The sequence below is a fragment of the Homo sapiens genome, chromosome 13, assembly GCF_000001405.40.
Source record: "Homo sapiens chromosome 13, GRCh38.p14 Primary Assembly".
Lineage (NCBI taxonomy): Eukaryota > Metazoa > Chordata > Mammalia > Primates > Hominidae > Homo > Homo sapiens.
In genome coordinates this window covers 77818212-77833618 of record NC_000013.11, presented here as the reverse complement: position 1 = coordinate 77833618, position 15407 = coordinate 77818212, and the positions used below count along the sequence as shown (strand labels likewise).

General features: G+C 38.0%; 1 long non-coding RNA gene across 1 annotated transcript in view, besides 1 other annotated feature; it reads right to left on the bottom strand.

The window, feature by feature from the left end:
* The window catches only part of EDNRB-AS1 (EDNRB antisense RNA 1), an 89506-nt gene extending 74824 nt beyond the window's left edge, over positions 1-14682 (bottom strand). Inside the window, exons 1-5 of the long non-coding RNA NR_103853.1 lie at positions 14609-14682; positions 5204-5376; positions 4517-4591; positions 3016-3066; positions 192-254 (exon numbers count right to left, since the gene is read on the bottom strand). This is a non-coding gene — a long non-coding RNA (EDNRB antisense RNA 1). The remainder of the gene's footprint in view (positions 1-191; positions 255-3015; positions 3067-4516; positions 4592-5203; positions 5377-14608) is intronic.
* Positions 40-1626: an enhancer, noted in NCBI's record as "VISTA enhancer hs1394". NCBI's record gives its function as "enhancer in: hindbrain (rhombencephalon)[6/9] | forebrain[4/9]" and the evidence as "EXISTENCE:transgenic organism evidence [ECO:0001131][PMID:17130149]".
* Positions 14683-15407: the final 725 nt, after the last annotated feature.

The window sequence follows — 15407 nt, the reverse complement described above, 5'->3', positions numbered from 1 at the left end:
GAAAGAAACTTCAACAAGATTCAATCCTTCTTCGAAAGACCAACAATAGCCAAGGGAAGTCTATTTATATAAAGTTGACAATGAGAAAACATGTGGTTGAACTGATTCCTTAGAAAGTGGGGGAACAGGAATCAGCCAACCAGTCAAGCTCTTCTCCATGCACTCCAGATAGCCAATGAATAAGAACTCACCCCAGAAGAATATTGCCTTTCTTGGTTCACCAAGCTGCCAGAAACAGTTCCTGCTGTGAAGCACTAGACAAAGAGAAAATTTTGAATGTCACTGGCTTCCCTCCATCATTGTTTACTCAGTTTAACAGCAATTTTCAATACATTTTTCATTGCCCAATAATCTTCTGTTTAATTGCTAGACATAGGATCTCATCTGATTCAGATTTCTGTATTAAAATGTAAAGAGATTATAGTAATCCTATTAGGTGAAATAATTAAGAATTAAGCTATTGAATGTAAAGGAATGCACTAGTAAAAACATAAACCCATTTTTCAAAAATGATAAAATTTCAACATACCTCAGTGTATGTACATTGTATAAAACATTGAATGTATGTGATGAAAATAATATGATATAGAGTATATCCAAATTATTTAGTCTTAAACTTTCAGTGACAAATAAAAATCTCTAGTAGTCTAGCCACATAGTCTTGAAGAAAGGAAAAGAGGAAGCCTGCCAACTTAGGAACTGATTAAGTATTCAGCAGAGAATTTTCTGTGGCTCTGTCTAAAAGCCCTGTCAGTGCATTTAACTCTGGACAAAAGGTTGTTGAAATCACACAAAGGAGTTTCTCAATTCAAAGGCTATAGATGAAATAATATTCACATAGAAGCATGCCAGATCTTCAAAGTTTAATAATGGCCATGTCTATGCATTTTATAACTTTAATGTGTAAGCAGAGTAAGAACTTGATATAAAACAAGCATAAAGAAATCTCTTTAGGAATGAAATTTTTAGTGTTAATTTACACATTTATTTCAAGGCACACATTCAGGAAGAAGGCAAGCTTTAGTTCAGACACAAAGAAGAAATGTGATCAGGTTATTTTGCCCCAGTATAAAAATAGCGTCATTTGTATGAGGCCTAAAAAGTCTCATTGTGTGAAAAGTGACCAAAGACTCTTGTATCAGAACATTTGTATAATGAGATTGGAAGTTTAGTAGAACGGTCTGAAATCTTGCATTCAAAGTCACCATATATTAAAATTTGGATAAGGCCTAAGAAGTAAGCAAAATGACTCCATGTTCTTAATAGCTCTTTGATAAAACTTCTTTACGTTCATGGGCCAATGGGTACAATGGCTTCAGTCAATATTAACTCAACAATAGAGGGAAAAACAACAGGTCAGTTTGCCTCCTCTCGGCGGATGTAAATGCTGTGATCTTCTTGTTATGACTCTGTGCTCAATCTGTGGTAGAATCATAGAAGGTTCTCATTTAAAAGAACTCAGTGACATTTAAGACAGAGTTTGTCAAACTATGTTCTACACATTCCTCAGCTCCACAGGGAGGAGAGGGTTAAAATGAGAAGGAAGCCAGAAAAGCAGAACTTCAACCTCGTCTCTGGAAGACCAGACCGTCTCTTCTCCTATGGGTCTAAATATGGGGCTCCACGTAATAAGCCATTAAAATGAAGAAAAAGGGAAAGAAGGAGATGGAGGAGGGAGTGTCCAACTAATTGTTTTAATTGAAAATTATCTCATTGTTAGAGAAAATAAAACTAGAAACTTGGGGAAGCTAATTTCTCAAAATCACAATGCTAGGTCGAGGCAGAACCAAACCATGGATACGGGTCCTTTGCTCAAATTCTTCTCAATGAAGACTCTGTGATGAAGAGGCCACTTCCATTTAAAGGCAGCGACACTTAGAAAATCACAGGCATTAAAACTTAGAAGAGGTCACCTTATCCAACGTCCCAGCCAGCACAGCCATCCTTTCACAGCATCCATGACATTCAGCCTCCTCTCAGACATGGGAAGATCACCTCTTCATGAAACAGCAGATTCTTCAAGGGTAAGGACACTGCTAATCTAAAAGCATTTTTTGATACTGGAAAAAGTACTGAGACTTTTCTCCTTTAGCCTGAAACTTGATTTTACGGGTGGGCCAAGCAAAGAGATAAACAATCCAAAATCATCACAAATGTGATTTTCCAGTACTCATATTTAATAGTACTTTTCCAGTATTTGTATCAACTTAGGCAGAGCCTGCTGTACTCCAACAAGTTCAATGTATCATTAATGCTTTCAGTTGCTAGTCACAAAACAATTTGACTAATAGTGATGTAAACCATAAATATATATATTTGAGCTTTTTTTTTTAATTAAGTAGTTTGGAGATAGGCAGTATCAATATAAGGTCAGTGGGCCTGGTGCAGTGGCTCACACCTGTAATGCCAGCACTTTGGGAGGCCGAGGCTGGTGGATCACTTGAGGTCAGGAGTTTGAAACCGGCCTGGCTAACATGGTGAAACCCCATCTCTATTAAAAATACAGAAATTAGCCAGGCATGCTGGTGGGTGCCTGTAATCCCAGCTACTTGGGAGGCTGAGGCAGGAGAATTGTGTGAACCCGGGGAGGCAGAGGTTGCAGTGAGTAGAGATCGTGCCACTGCACTCTAGCCTCGGCAGCAGAGCAAGACTCCATCTCAAAAAAAAAAAAAAAAAAAAAAAGTAAATAAGGTCAGTGGCTCCATTATGCTTTTAAGGACCCAGGCTCCTTGGCTCCTTTGATCTGCCATTTTCGGCATGTCAACAATGTCTTTTCTCATCTGGTTAGTAATACTGTGTCCTATCTGAAGGACAACAGGTTTAGAAAAAGGGAGAGCCCAAAGAGAAAAAAATTATTCTAATATCTCAAATACTGCACATCTGAAAGGGTACTCTGACTTATAAAATTAAACACAGGATTCCTTTGGTTGCTATATCCCTAGATAAAATAAAATAATCCGGCTAAACTGGTCAATTACAGCAGTCCTGTGTTATATCATTCAGCTCATCTCTTACTTTGATTTTCAAATACTTCCAGTTACAGTACAGTTTTCCATGAAGAATTTCCTATTAAAAAAAGGCAATTAGTAGACCAGAAGACTATATATTTCAATGTAGTAAAAATAAAATAAATAAAACAGTAGTAGCTTTGAAGCTATACGGATCTCAATTCTTATTGGTGTTCTGCTATATATGAGCTTTGTGAACATGAATGGGTTATTGAACATTTTGGAATTTTAATTTCTTCATCATTAACATGGGAGCATTCACAAATAGGAGAAACTATATAAAAGTTCAAGCAAAGAGGAGGAATTTACTAAACCACTTAAGGAAAGAGGGAAGGAAGAAAGGAAGAAAGGGAAGGAGGGAAGAAGGGAGGGAGGGGAGGGAAGAAGGGGGGGAGGGAGGGAAGAAGGGAGGGAGGGGAGGGAAGAAGGGGGGGAGGAAGGAAGGAAGGAAGGAAGGGCAGGAAGGCAGGAGGGAAGGAAGGTAGAGATTGAAGAAAGAAAGAGGTAAATATGTATATTTTCATTATTAAGTTTATATTCTGACTTATATGTGAGTGTCATCTGAGATAGGTTAGGGTAAGTCCATCAAAAATTATCTCTGAAATCAGGCAAATTTTGGTTTATGGTCCAGGGGCTAGACTTAAGCTCCAGTATTCCAATCAATAAACTACCCATACATTATCAGCTCCAGCAGCCATAACAATCTCAAATGACAGCTTCAGATTATAAATTCTGGGCATCACATCCAATAGCTTTAGCAAGTTCTTCATTGTTCTTGGGTCTGTGTACAAAGAATGACATAAACCAGGTCCCTGCCTTCTAGCAGTCATCCTCTGAGATAGTCAATACAGACACATCCATAAGAGGCATGGAGACAGCAGGCTGGTCGTGGTGGCTCACACCTGTAATCTCAGCACTTTGGGAGGCTGAGGCAGGTGGATCACGAGGTCAGGAGATCGAGACCATCCTGGCTAACATGGTGAAACCCCGTCTCTACTAAAAATACAAAAACAAAATTAGCTGGGCATGGTGGCTGGCGCCTGTAGTCCCAGCTAGTCAGGAGGCTGAGACGGGAGAATGGCATGAACCCTGGAGGCAGAGCTTGCAGTGAGCTGAGATCGTGCCACTGCACTCTGGCCTGGGTGACAGAGCAAGACTCTGTCTCAGAAAAACAAAACAAAACAAAAAAAGGCATGGAGACAGCAAAATAAAACCAAAATGCAAGGAGCCAGGCTACAACATGATGTAAATTCAGGTAGAATATTCTTCCTCCACCATTAGAGTCTTATTTTGCCTTCCAACAGCAGAATTCAAGTTAAGAGTCTTGTTTTCTGCCTGCATCTTGTTACTGACTACGGTCACAGAAAAACAAACTCTTCTGAAAATCCCTGAATGTGATCGACATGACTCAAGCATGTGGGAGTTATTATTAAGTGTGACAGAGCACAAAATATTTTTCCTTAAGCTAAAGAACTTTACCAAACATCATCCAGTTTAAAACAACATACATTTTGATTGAAACTGCAAAGAGCATATTATGTTTGCAATGCAGCTGGCAGGAGGCAGATACAGACTGTCCATCACTGGGAAGAATGTGAGGGAAAATACATCATTCAGACTGGATCACTCCTGCAAACAGCTATCAACTATAGGCATCACAATTACCTATGCAAAGAAGAGCTTAATTTCAATGTGATAAATGACATTTGGGCATGTATCCAATACTACAATAGTTCAAACATTTATCAAGCTAGCATTTTTCTCCAAATGCTTTCTCTCCATAAGTGGAGCAGTAAAAGATTGCCTTACAAACAAAGAGTGAAAAGATTCTCAAAGGATCTACACCTTCTGAAATAGCACTATGATTCAGGTACTTCTTGACCAACAAATTGTTTTTGGTATTCAGGTTTGTTTTGTTTTGAATTTGAACAATTCAAGTTCTTCTAATCCTTTTTTTCTGTAGCATCAATAGATCTGCTTGATTTTTAGATCTGCTTGATTTTTTTTTCTGACAATTTGTTAACCAAGTTTTCTGAGTGTGAATATGCCATTGTCCCAGGCCATGTGTCTGCACTGAATTCTTTCTTTGGGAAAGATGCCGTGATTCATAGCTTAACACCATATCTCTTCTGCTTCTGCCACCTTCCCCTAGTCCCTCATCAGAGAGTTGTCCATAATAAATAAAGAGCACCTACTTAGAAATGTGTCCCAGGAGGATGCTGTTGCAATACTGGCAGCGCATCACTAACTTCGTATGAAGAACACTGGCACCAAATTTTTCTAGATTTCAGATGTTGAGCTCTGTTTTTAAGTCTCACCCTCACCACACACATTTGGGTACTTAGCCAGCTGGTCAGCTGGTCAATTCCTATGGATCAAGATGAGAGCAAGTAGTTATTCTTCTGAGAGCTTCCGATGCCTAAAAAAGTAGGAAAATAAAGCCAAAATGAGGAAACCAATGTATAATAAACCTAAAGAGATTGTCAAATTGCAGGAGCCAGAAGTAGATATTAAATGAAATCTGCAGCATAGCACCTGGGCCCCTGACTGATCTCCCCTTCACTCCAGGCACATCATATGCTTCTGTACCTAAAATCTCCAGGGCTGCAAATGTGGAACTCTACCCAGCCAGAGGACCTGAACATGCGCCATCATTCTCTCGCTGGAATATCCTCTCCCACTTCCCTTCTTCTCATCAGCCACTGTGCCTAAATGATTTCAACAAATCCGTCAGGTGCCAACTCAAGTGTCAGTTTCTCAGAGATTTTCCCAAACTTTATATGTGCTCATTGCACCCTCCGCTTATCTCAGGGTATGATTTCCACCTGCTTTTTCTCTGAGACTGTAAGTTCCATGTGGCCATGAACCACATCGGTTTATACAATAGTATATGCCCATCCACTAACTCAGCATATGGCACTTAGTAAATGCTAATAAATATTTATTGAATGAATGAAACGTGTAAGGACTCAGTGAAGTTATGTGTGTCGAATACTTCATATAAAACTTGGCATATGAAAGTCTCTCGGTTCCTTTTTGATATATTCAGTATTAACAATTATGAGCACTTGGCAGCAGGCCTGGAAAGCAACCAGTCCAGATTGCTTCAGAATCTTCAGGAAGAATTTATTCAGAAGAGAAGCAAAGCGACTCTTTGATAGTTTTGACTATGTGCAAAATTGAATTGAGAGGCATTGCACAGAGTTATCGGAGTACAGAAGACTTAGGCTTAGATTAAAAGATTAAGAAAAATTTAAAAAGCAAACAGGCTACAGCAATAGTTGAAAAGACATAAAATGAAGGAAATATAATTTATATATATTACATGGCTTAAAAATGAACATGATCACATTTAAAAAAACTACTAGGTAAAAAGTTAACCTAAGATTGTAATATAACTATATTTTGAGAATTAAAGGAGGATTAGGAAAAAGAAACTGGGAGATTAAAATCCTAACTCATCATAATTGAAGTCAGTTGACCAATTAAATCTAAAATTAAATAGTGGGCTGGGCGTTATGGCTCATGCCTATATCCCAAGACTTTGGGAGGTCAAGGCAGGAGGATCATTTGAGGTCAGGAGTTCAAAACTAGCCTGGACAACATAGGGAGACTCTGTCTCTACAAACAACAACAGCAAAACAGATTAGCTGAATATTGTGGTACAAACCTACAGTGTCAGCTACTTGGGTGGCTTATCTGAGGCCAGGAGGTTGAGGTTAAGTGAACTGCGATCGCACCACTGCACTCCTGTCTGGGTGGTGGAATGAGACTTTGTCTCTAACAAAAATAAAAAGTAAGTAAAAAATAAAATAAAACAGAAGAATCAAATCAGTATATGCACACTATTTTGAAAATGGACACAAATAGCAGAATACATTGCTAAAAGGTGAGCACAGCAGTAGGTGGGGAGCATAAAGCTCTTTTGCACTGTCTTTTAGTAATAATACAATTAGTGTGTTTTATTTTGACTAAAATAAAAATTAATTTAATATATGCTTTAAAATATTTAAAATTACTTTATTGAAACATTTAAGTAGAAAGTCATAACATCTATTTACCATGTTTTAAAATACTTCAATATGCATAAAGATTTAAAGAAATAGCACATAAAGTAGGATTTGTATTTCATTCACTAATCCCACTCTATTTCAATTATGGCTGAATTTCACCACACGTCTGTATGACTGACAGAAATCCAGCTTTCATCAAACTAACATCAGTCTAGAAGCCATGGTGTTGTTAGTGATCATACATTTCTAATTAACTTTTCTTAAAATAAAAACTTCTGGAATAGACATTTGTGACACTTTGTGGTTATCCAGTGTTTTGAATACCTTCCTTTGTTGGGGAACTTCCCACACTAGGAGGACTTTCTCCCCGTGGGAGCAGTCAGATATTCACTTTCCTGGCCTTCCTATAGCTGAGGTCGAGGAATGTGACTTGGGCTTTGCCAACGCTCTCAAGATGGAGACTCAGGAAAGAGCACCGTGAGGGTGCAGACACTGCAATGTACAGAGGCTGTTCCTGGACAGGCGGTAGCAAGGAAGGTGAGGTCTGAACTCTAATACTAGGACCAGGTACCATTGTCAACTTTCCTCAGTGGTGGGAACAGTGAGATCTTGCAGGAGTCACCACAGAGGTATTTTCTTTTTTAAACAGGATCCAAATCTAGTTCATCCATCGTGATTGGTTCATATGTATCATGTATCTCATCTAATCCACAGGGTCATTCTTTGTCCATTTTTATTTCTTTGCAACTTAAGTTGAAAAACAATGTTTACCACATAGAGTTTCTCAAAGTTTGGATTTTACTGAATGCATCCCCATGGTGTAGTTTAAATGCCTCTCTATCTTCTTCAATAATTACAAATAAGTAGATGCTTTAAAGATTAAGTAGTTTCATGCTAAAAATTTTTAATGGCAAAACTGCTTCATGGATGCTATTGTATTCTTCCACCAGGAGGTTCATAATTTCTGATTGTCTTATTTTTGTTTTGTTAGCAGCTACTGATGACCAATGCCTAGATCTGTTAGTTCCTTAGTGCTTACAAAATAAGGATCTTCTAATTATCATTCCTTTTTTATGTATTAGTTGGAATTCTTCCATAAAGAGAAACTTCCTCTTACATACTATTTGGTTACAATTCACATGAGAAAGGCAGAATAAATGCCTGATTATTTCCCTTTATTTGCCAGTTTGCCAGTAATTAATTGGTTCTCTAGTACCCTTTAATACTAGATGGTGACCAATTAGGAACTTAAATTTTAAATGTAAATGGTGACCAATTAGGAATATTAAATTTTAGCATTATTGTGAACTCATGGATTTAAGCACATTTCATGTGTTTCAGTCAGTTATGCTCATTATTCTTACTGATATTTAAACTGTCCCATTTTTGGCCAATGAGAGTCTATTCAATTGGCTCTTGAGAATGTTGAACATGGATTTTGTTTTTATTTATGATTGCTAATATCTTCTGTAGTAGTTTTTCCTCCATGCCATGTCACCAACAAATATAAGTGGTTTTGTCTCTTTCTTTCACTTCTAATTACTTTCATTTTTCTAATTTTCTTGGCTGATACTATCAACACAATGTGAAATAATAGTGAAAATAATGGGCAATCTTAAATCTTATTCTATTCCCAACTTTAATGGGAAAGCCTCTAATGTTTCCCCATTAAGTAAGATGCTGGCTTTTGGTCTAAAGTGTATGTTTTATCATTTTAAAGAAATAGAGATCCATTCCTATTTTACTGAGTGTTTTCAACACACACAAATGGATTTTGCCAATTTTGCTGCCTATTTTCAGTCACTGATAGCTCTAATGAGAATCCTGAATTGCCTATTCCAACTATATTAGGGAAATGCCATTGGTTTGCCTTTTCTGCATGCTGAATTAATTCTGTGTATTAAAAAAAGTATTTTCTCTACACTACCTAACACACTGTATAAAAAGACTACTTCTATGATGTCATTTCTTTATTCTAAAAACCCCATGATCATTTTTAACTGATCAACAATTCAGGGCCAGCTAGCTTCTATGATTCTAACCCTGCCATTCATCAAGTATCTAGTTGATCTTTTTCTTTTTTATACAGAGTCTCCCTCTTGTTGCCCAGGCTGGAGTGGAGTGCAATGGTGTGATCTCGGCTCACTGCAACCTCCGCCTCCCGGGTTCCAGAGATTCTCCTGCCTCAACCTGCCGAGTAGCTGAGATTACAGGCATGTGCCATCACACTCAGCTAATTTTTGTATTTTTAGTGGATACAGGGTTTCACCATGTTGGCCAGGCTGGTCTCAAACTCCTGACCTCAGGTGATCCACTAGCCTCAGCCTCCCAAAGTGCTGGGATTACAAGCACGAGCCACTGTGCCCAGCCAAGCTGATCTTGACTGATTATTTCATATCCATAAGCAATTATCACACAGAATCAAATACCTCTCTTCTTTGATAAAGACTTAATTTTGAAGAAATATATTGGACTTGACCAGAAGTTATATCTTAAAATTCCAAGTAAAATATTATAAAAGATTTAAAAATGTAATTCTTTATATACATACTGAAAGTTAGAAAATTACAGAAACAAACTACTTTGGTAGAAGGTCTTATAAGGAAGAAATTAAAAAATAATGTCAAGGGAAAAATGTGTGAACAAAGAAAAGATACAGTAGTTTCAGTGAGATGTATTTGAATAGAGAATAATCATTTCCTGTGTTTCAAATAGTCTCCTTTTACATTGCTGTGCACAGTAAAAGTTTATTATGCCTAAAGAAAATTATTATTTGTAAATTATGATCAGGAGTAAAGTGTCATAACGTCACCAACAAATTCTCTATTTAGGTTAGTGTCATGTTAATGTAACTATACCTGGGCCTGTTGGCTATATACAGAAATGGCTAGTCCATTTTTTCTTAGAATTAACATTCAGCAAATATTGATGGATCAATCAGGCTCTCCGGATTTCACTTTCTTCATCCACCTCACAGAAAATGTCAATGCCATTCATTCTCAGAACTCAAACTTACAGTTAACAAGGCTAAAAAGAGATGCTAAACAAATTCTCAAATAAAATTGGGAGGTTTTAGGTAATTATACAAGAGTTTTTCTTTGCCTTGTACATCATAAACCATTGTTATACATTTCTAAAAACATTTTCTGCCTTTTGGCATATTTAATCAAAATATTGAGGTGTCTTTAAATACAGCTAGAGCCAGAGGCTTCTCTTATTTAGAAAATTGCCACTCGATTATGCATGTTCATTTAAATATTGGATTTATCTCTACTGATTCATTGGATTTATCTCTACTCACATTCCTGAAGCACTACGTGTTGGGTAGGTGATTTTTAAAATTTTTAGTGAAATAAGAGAATGGGCTTGCCACACGTCTCCTCTTGTTTTCATTTATGAGATGTGCTTGCTTAATAAAGTAGAAATGCTGGAGGAGATGGTAAGTGCAAACTGTGTGGCAATTTGGCCAAATCTGAACTGCAGGGGGAAGGTGTGAAAAGGTGGATGAATGAATAAACTGGATGGGCAATTTGGGGTGAGTGCATTTGGGACACCACCTGCTAAACACTGAAGCCTATAGAAACATTGCTCGTGTGGAGAATGAAGAAGGGTAACCATGGAGCAGAATTAAGAATTGTAGATGAGTCCACTGGTTGGAGATAGTTAACACAGGGAATATACTGAAGTTACCAAAGTGAGGACAACTGTCTTGTTAGCACTTAATTAGGATGATAGGTATATCCCTGGTACCCTATCAGGCCTCTTTCTTACTTTTAAATTGTAAGAGTTGGGTTATTAGGCATGGTCTCTTTAATTACCTTTATATTCACTTGTCCAATAAAACTGATAACAGTCATAGTGTCCTTCAGACTCAAAACATTAACTCTACCAGCGGTGCAAATGAGTACGAGGGAGAGGACCCTGTTCACCTCTAATAGGGCTTTTCAACCAGCCTCCTCATCAACTCCACAGCCTGCTTATTGCTATGAGCCCTGAAGATCGGTAACAATTACATGAATACTGGGAAGGAAGACTTTACTTTTTGCCTCTTGTGCCCATTAAAAAGACCAATCTCACCCAAAACACATGTAAATGACTCAGGAGACATCTGAGAAAAGAATGCCTGTTCATACCATGAGGCAGTATCCAACATAAGGTCTACTCCTTAGCATATACCTTAAGTCAAAGTAATCAATTCTTTTGGCAATCAGCATTCTGAGGCTTCATTAATTGGCACTTAATTCTGGAATCCTAGAACCAGAAGGAATCTTATTGAATAATCTAATTTAAACCTCATCTCAAAGCAAATACTCTCTTCCTCAATCACATGAAATGGAAAATGAGATATGCTCAAAAAAAGAAAGGATTTCATTCATTTCTGTCAGCATTAGTGCTTATAGGTTAACCTTGACTTGGCTATAAGTCAATGATGAATAATACAGGTGCCAAGCTCCCTATGAGATGCTGTGGGGAATTGAAATGAATACACAATTCCTGGCCTCCAGAAATTTACTACGGAATGACAGAGACAGAGCAAACATAGGACATTAGGCATAACTAATTGTAAAAAGAACTTGCTACCCTCAGCACTGAACCCTCTGGCTCTAATGAGGTATTCCAGCGCCTACCCTGTGGCCAGGTTGCTGGATGTAGCTTCTTCGCTCAGCCACTATTGAGTCTTAGTTGAATAATCTGTCATGTTTATCCTTCAAGATGAGTTCTGTCACACCATGTAGTTAAGCCTGGCCCAGAAGAATTGTTGAGACAAAGGTAAAAAAGACACCTCAGATATGAGAAATTCCAGCCAAGGGATCAGAGAGGAGCTGAAAGAACAAGGGTTTTTAACCTTATGTTATTTCCCCAGTGGGGATGAATAAGCAGTACCCATCACACCATAAAGTACTTATTAATTGATCCTTCAATCTTTTATTTTTATTTAACACTATCCTATTTTTAAGGACCCCAGAAAGTTCTCCTACTTATTTTAGTCATTTTTATATATTTCTTTAATACTTTTAAAAGTCCTCCTCACAACTCTAAATATGAAACAATACATTTTAATAGCAGGAAAATAAAGTCCCAGTTCTTATGTGTGCAATAATTATGATTCTCATTGTAATTATGTAATTATGATTACTCATTGAGTTAGATAAGCCCAATGTAAGTACCTACCTGCAAATGAAGGAAATAGCACATTCATCAATGAGGCTCCTGCCTATAATTATGTGAGGGTGGAAGAGTATCATTTTATCACATCAAATAAGATGAAAACCTTGTTTCCAATAACTATTATGGAAAAAAATGTTGGGTACGCCTATGCTTAGTTGAAAACCTGAAACTTTAGTTCAAACAAAGTGTTAGCACATCATTAAAAGTAAAATATATTAATAATTTGTTCCTGTTCAAGTCACTAAACAGTATGTCACTGAAAAGATCTTTCAGATCCTTAACTATCCTTTCTGATATCTGTAGAGTGGCTGCTTTATCTACTAAACCTCATCTTGTTATAATCATGAGTGGTATAATTAACATTCATCTTGGAACACAAAGAATATTTAGGGATCCTTTTAGTCTACAAGTAGGAAATATAATAGGAGATCCTGGTACGCTAAATGACCTAAATTATCAAATTGTGGAACCCCTAGTGGCAGGGGGTGGCCTTGCTTTGAAATCCTGGTCTCCTCTAGGCTATAAGATCTCACTTGGAGCTAAGGATGTACTGGGACCTGTGTCCCTCTTCAGGACTCATAAATCAGGATCTCAAGAAGAAATAGAAGTCACCACACCTCCTCCAAAATTATTCAAATGAAGAGACTATAATAAAGGGAATAATTACAGAGCTCGGGGAAAGGTTAAAGGAACCAACAAAGTATGTTGAGGCACTGATAAGCCACAGAAGGAAGTCATTACTATGTATTTGGTTAAAGAAGAAAAGGGAGGAAATAGTGTTATCAAGATACAATGAAAACTGGAGCCACGAAGAAGGTTCTGACAGGCAAGGGCTGTATTTCAGCAACTGCCAAAGATGCGGTACCAAAGAGGGGAGGAGGTGGAGATGAAATACCCTGATTATCTCTCCTTCTGTCCTTTGATCTCCTGCCAGGGTTTCTCATTGGCTGAACCCAATCAGAATCTAGAAAGGGAGCAGTTTTCAGGGATCAGCCTCCTGGGTAAAAAGCAGTAAAAGAATAGATTGGGAGAAAAACAAACACAGAAGAACTAGCATGACCACTGAAGAGCAGGAAAACCAAGAGAAGGCAAAAACTGCATGGCCTTCCAGGCTGCTTTCTCCAAACTGCTAGACACTTCTGAGTGAATTCTTGAAAGAACTATATACTCGTATAGTTTTCTCTAGAAAACTGATGAAGCCATTCCAAATAATTCTGGCCTACACATGCAGGGAGTACTTGGAGATTTTAATCAGGACTTACAGAATCAGAAACAGCCAACAAATATAGTCCACTGGAGGCTGAATCGGGAGCCCAGAGTTTTGGGAAACACTGATCAACCAAGGACCTGGATGAAGGTGTATCTGACAGCATATTTCAGTGACCTACTGAAACTCAGAACAACTTTATATCTTTCCCCAGCTTCCAGACACCTCCATGGAATAAACTACCAGCATTTCAAACTAAATATGTACCAAAAGCAAACTTACCATTTCCCTTTCTGCCTAGACTCTCCCGTATCATCCTCACCCTGAGCCTTCCCCTCAACTGACACATACACACTCCCCAACAACCAAGAGTCTATTCTTCTTTCTGTCTTCCTTATTTGTAATAATGGACATTATAAAACTATCACCTAAGGAATTTATTGTCATGTCATTATTTTTTATTCCTCCCTGTGTACTGACATCTGGAGACTGATGCCTGTAAGAGCCAACCTCCCCCAACATGGCACCTGCCAAGAGTGACCACCAGTCACTGTGCTTAGCTCACCCCATTGTCTTGAAGCATTTTGGCCCTTCTCATTTTAAAATTTCCTTTCTCACTTCTGGATCCCAAGGACTGTGTTATATCTGTTAATTCAAGACCCGGCTTCAAGACACCTTGATTCAACTGAGGGCATCATTTACACCTGCCATCTGCACTACTCTTGGTTTTCGGCATCTCCATGGTAATAAATACCCTGTCTGGACTGACCCAGAAACTTCCCTCATATATCTGATTTCTCCTTCCAAGTTTGCTCCAGCCTAGATAAGCAGAACTGAACAATTGCCTCCTAAAACCAACCAGCTCCCAAATCCCATAGATTCTACATAAGCAAATTTCTAATTTAAAATAGTTTTTTTAAAAAAATGTTGTGAGTTCTTTTTCTCTTCTATTATCATGTGAATGGTAGCATCTACACAAAGTTGCCATTTAAATCAAACTAAGGAGTTTGCTCTCAAACTTCCCTGTGTGAGGTCACTACAGCAGGGATAAGAGACTTTCTTGGTCAGTAGTTCTCAACTTGGGCTGAACTTTGGCACCACCTGAGGATTATGGGGAAAAAATATCAAAGCTTGGGTCACAGCACCCTGGTTTCTAATTCCACTGTGCTGAGTATGGTCTAGGTAAAGGGATTTTTAAAAGCTCTTCCCACCGTTTGATTCTGATGGAACAGTCAAAGTTAAGAACTACTACTATAGGCTCAGCAAGTGTCTCCATCCCTTCTGCAATGGGTGTGATTAATTACATAAATGCATGGGGTTATTATGACATCAAATACATCACATATATGAAACTGACTTTCACAGTGCCTGGCATATGGTAGGTGCTCAATGAATGTGTTTTCCTATTCTCCTGCATCCTTCCAGACTCCTCCCTAAAAATGCCTCTGCAGTTTTAAGCCTCTCTGGAAGAGACCACATTCTTTTTAGGTGACAGCTATGTTATCAAATAATGTTCAGGCAGAAACAAACCACTGAAAAGGAAAATTACTTAGAGATTAGAGAAGAGTGACAGCAAGAATGAGAAAAGTGTTGTTCTCAGGAAAAATGGATGAATACCAAAAATTAGGTTTACCTGATTCAGACTCCTAACTGATTGTCAATCTCTTCAAAAAAAGCCAAAACTGTTTGTAGTGCATGGAGATTTTTCCTTGGCAGTCAGTTTGCTTCTCAAAAGTTCTACCATTATGGACTCAGAATTGTCAATTAATGCAAGCATCTTTAAAGTGCCACTTAATGATGAGAACACATGGACATATAGAGGGGAACAACACACACTGGGGCCTGTCAGAGGGTGGGAAGAGGGAGAGAAACAGAAAAAAAAAATAACTACAATAAAGGGCCATTTAAGATGCATCAGAAAACCCTTCTTTCTATCTCATTCCCTCATACCTACTAAAGGCACCTCTCATTCCTCAGTGTGCTGGTCAAACCCTATGTCTTCCAGGAAAC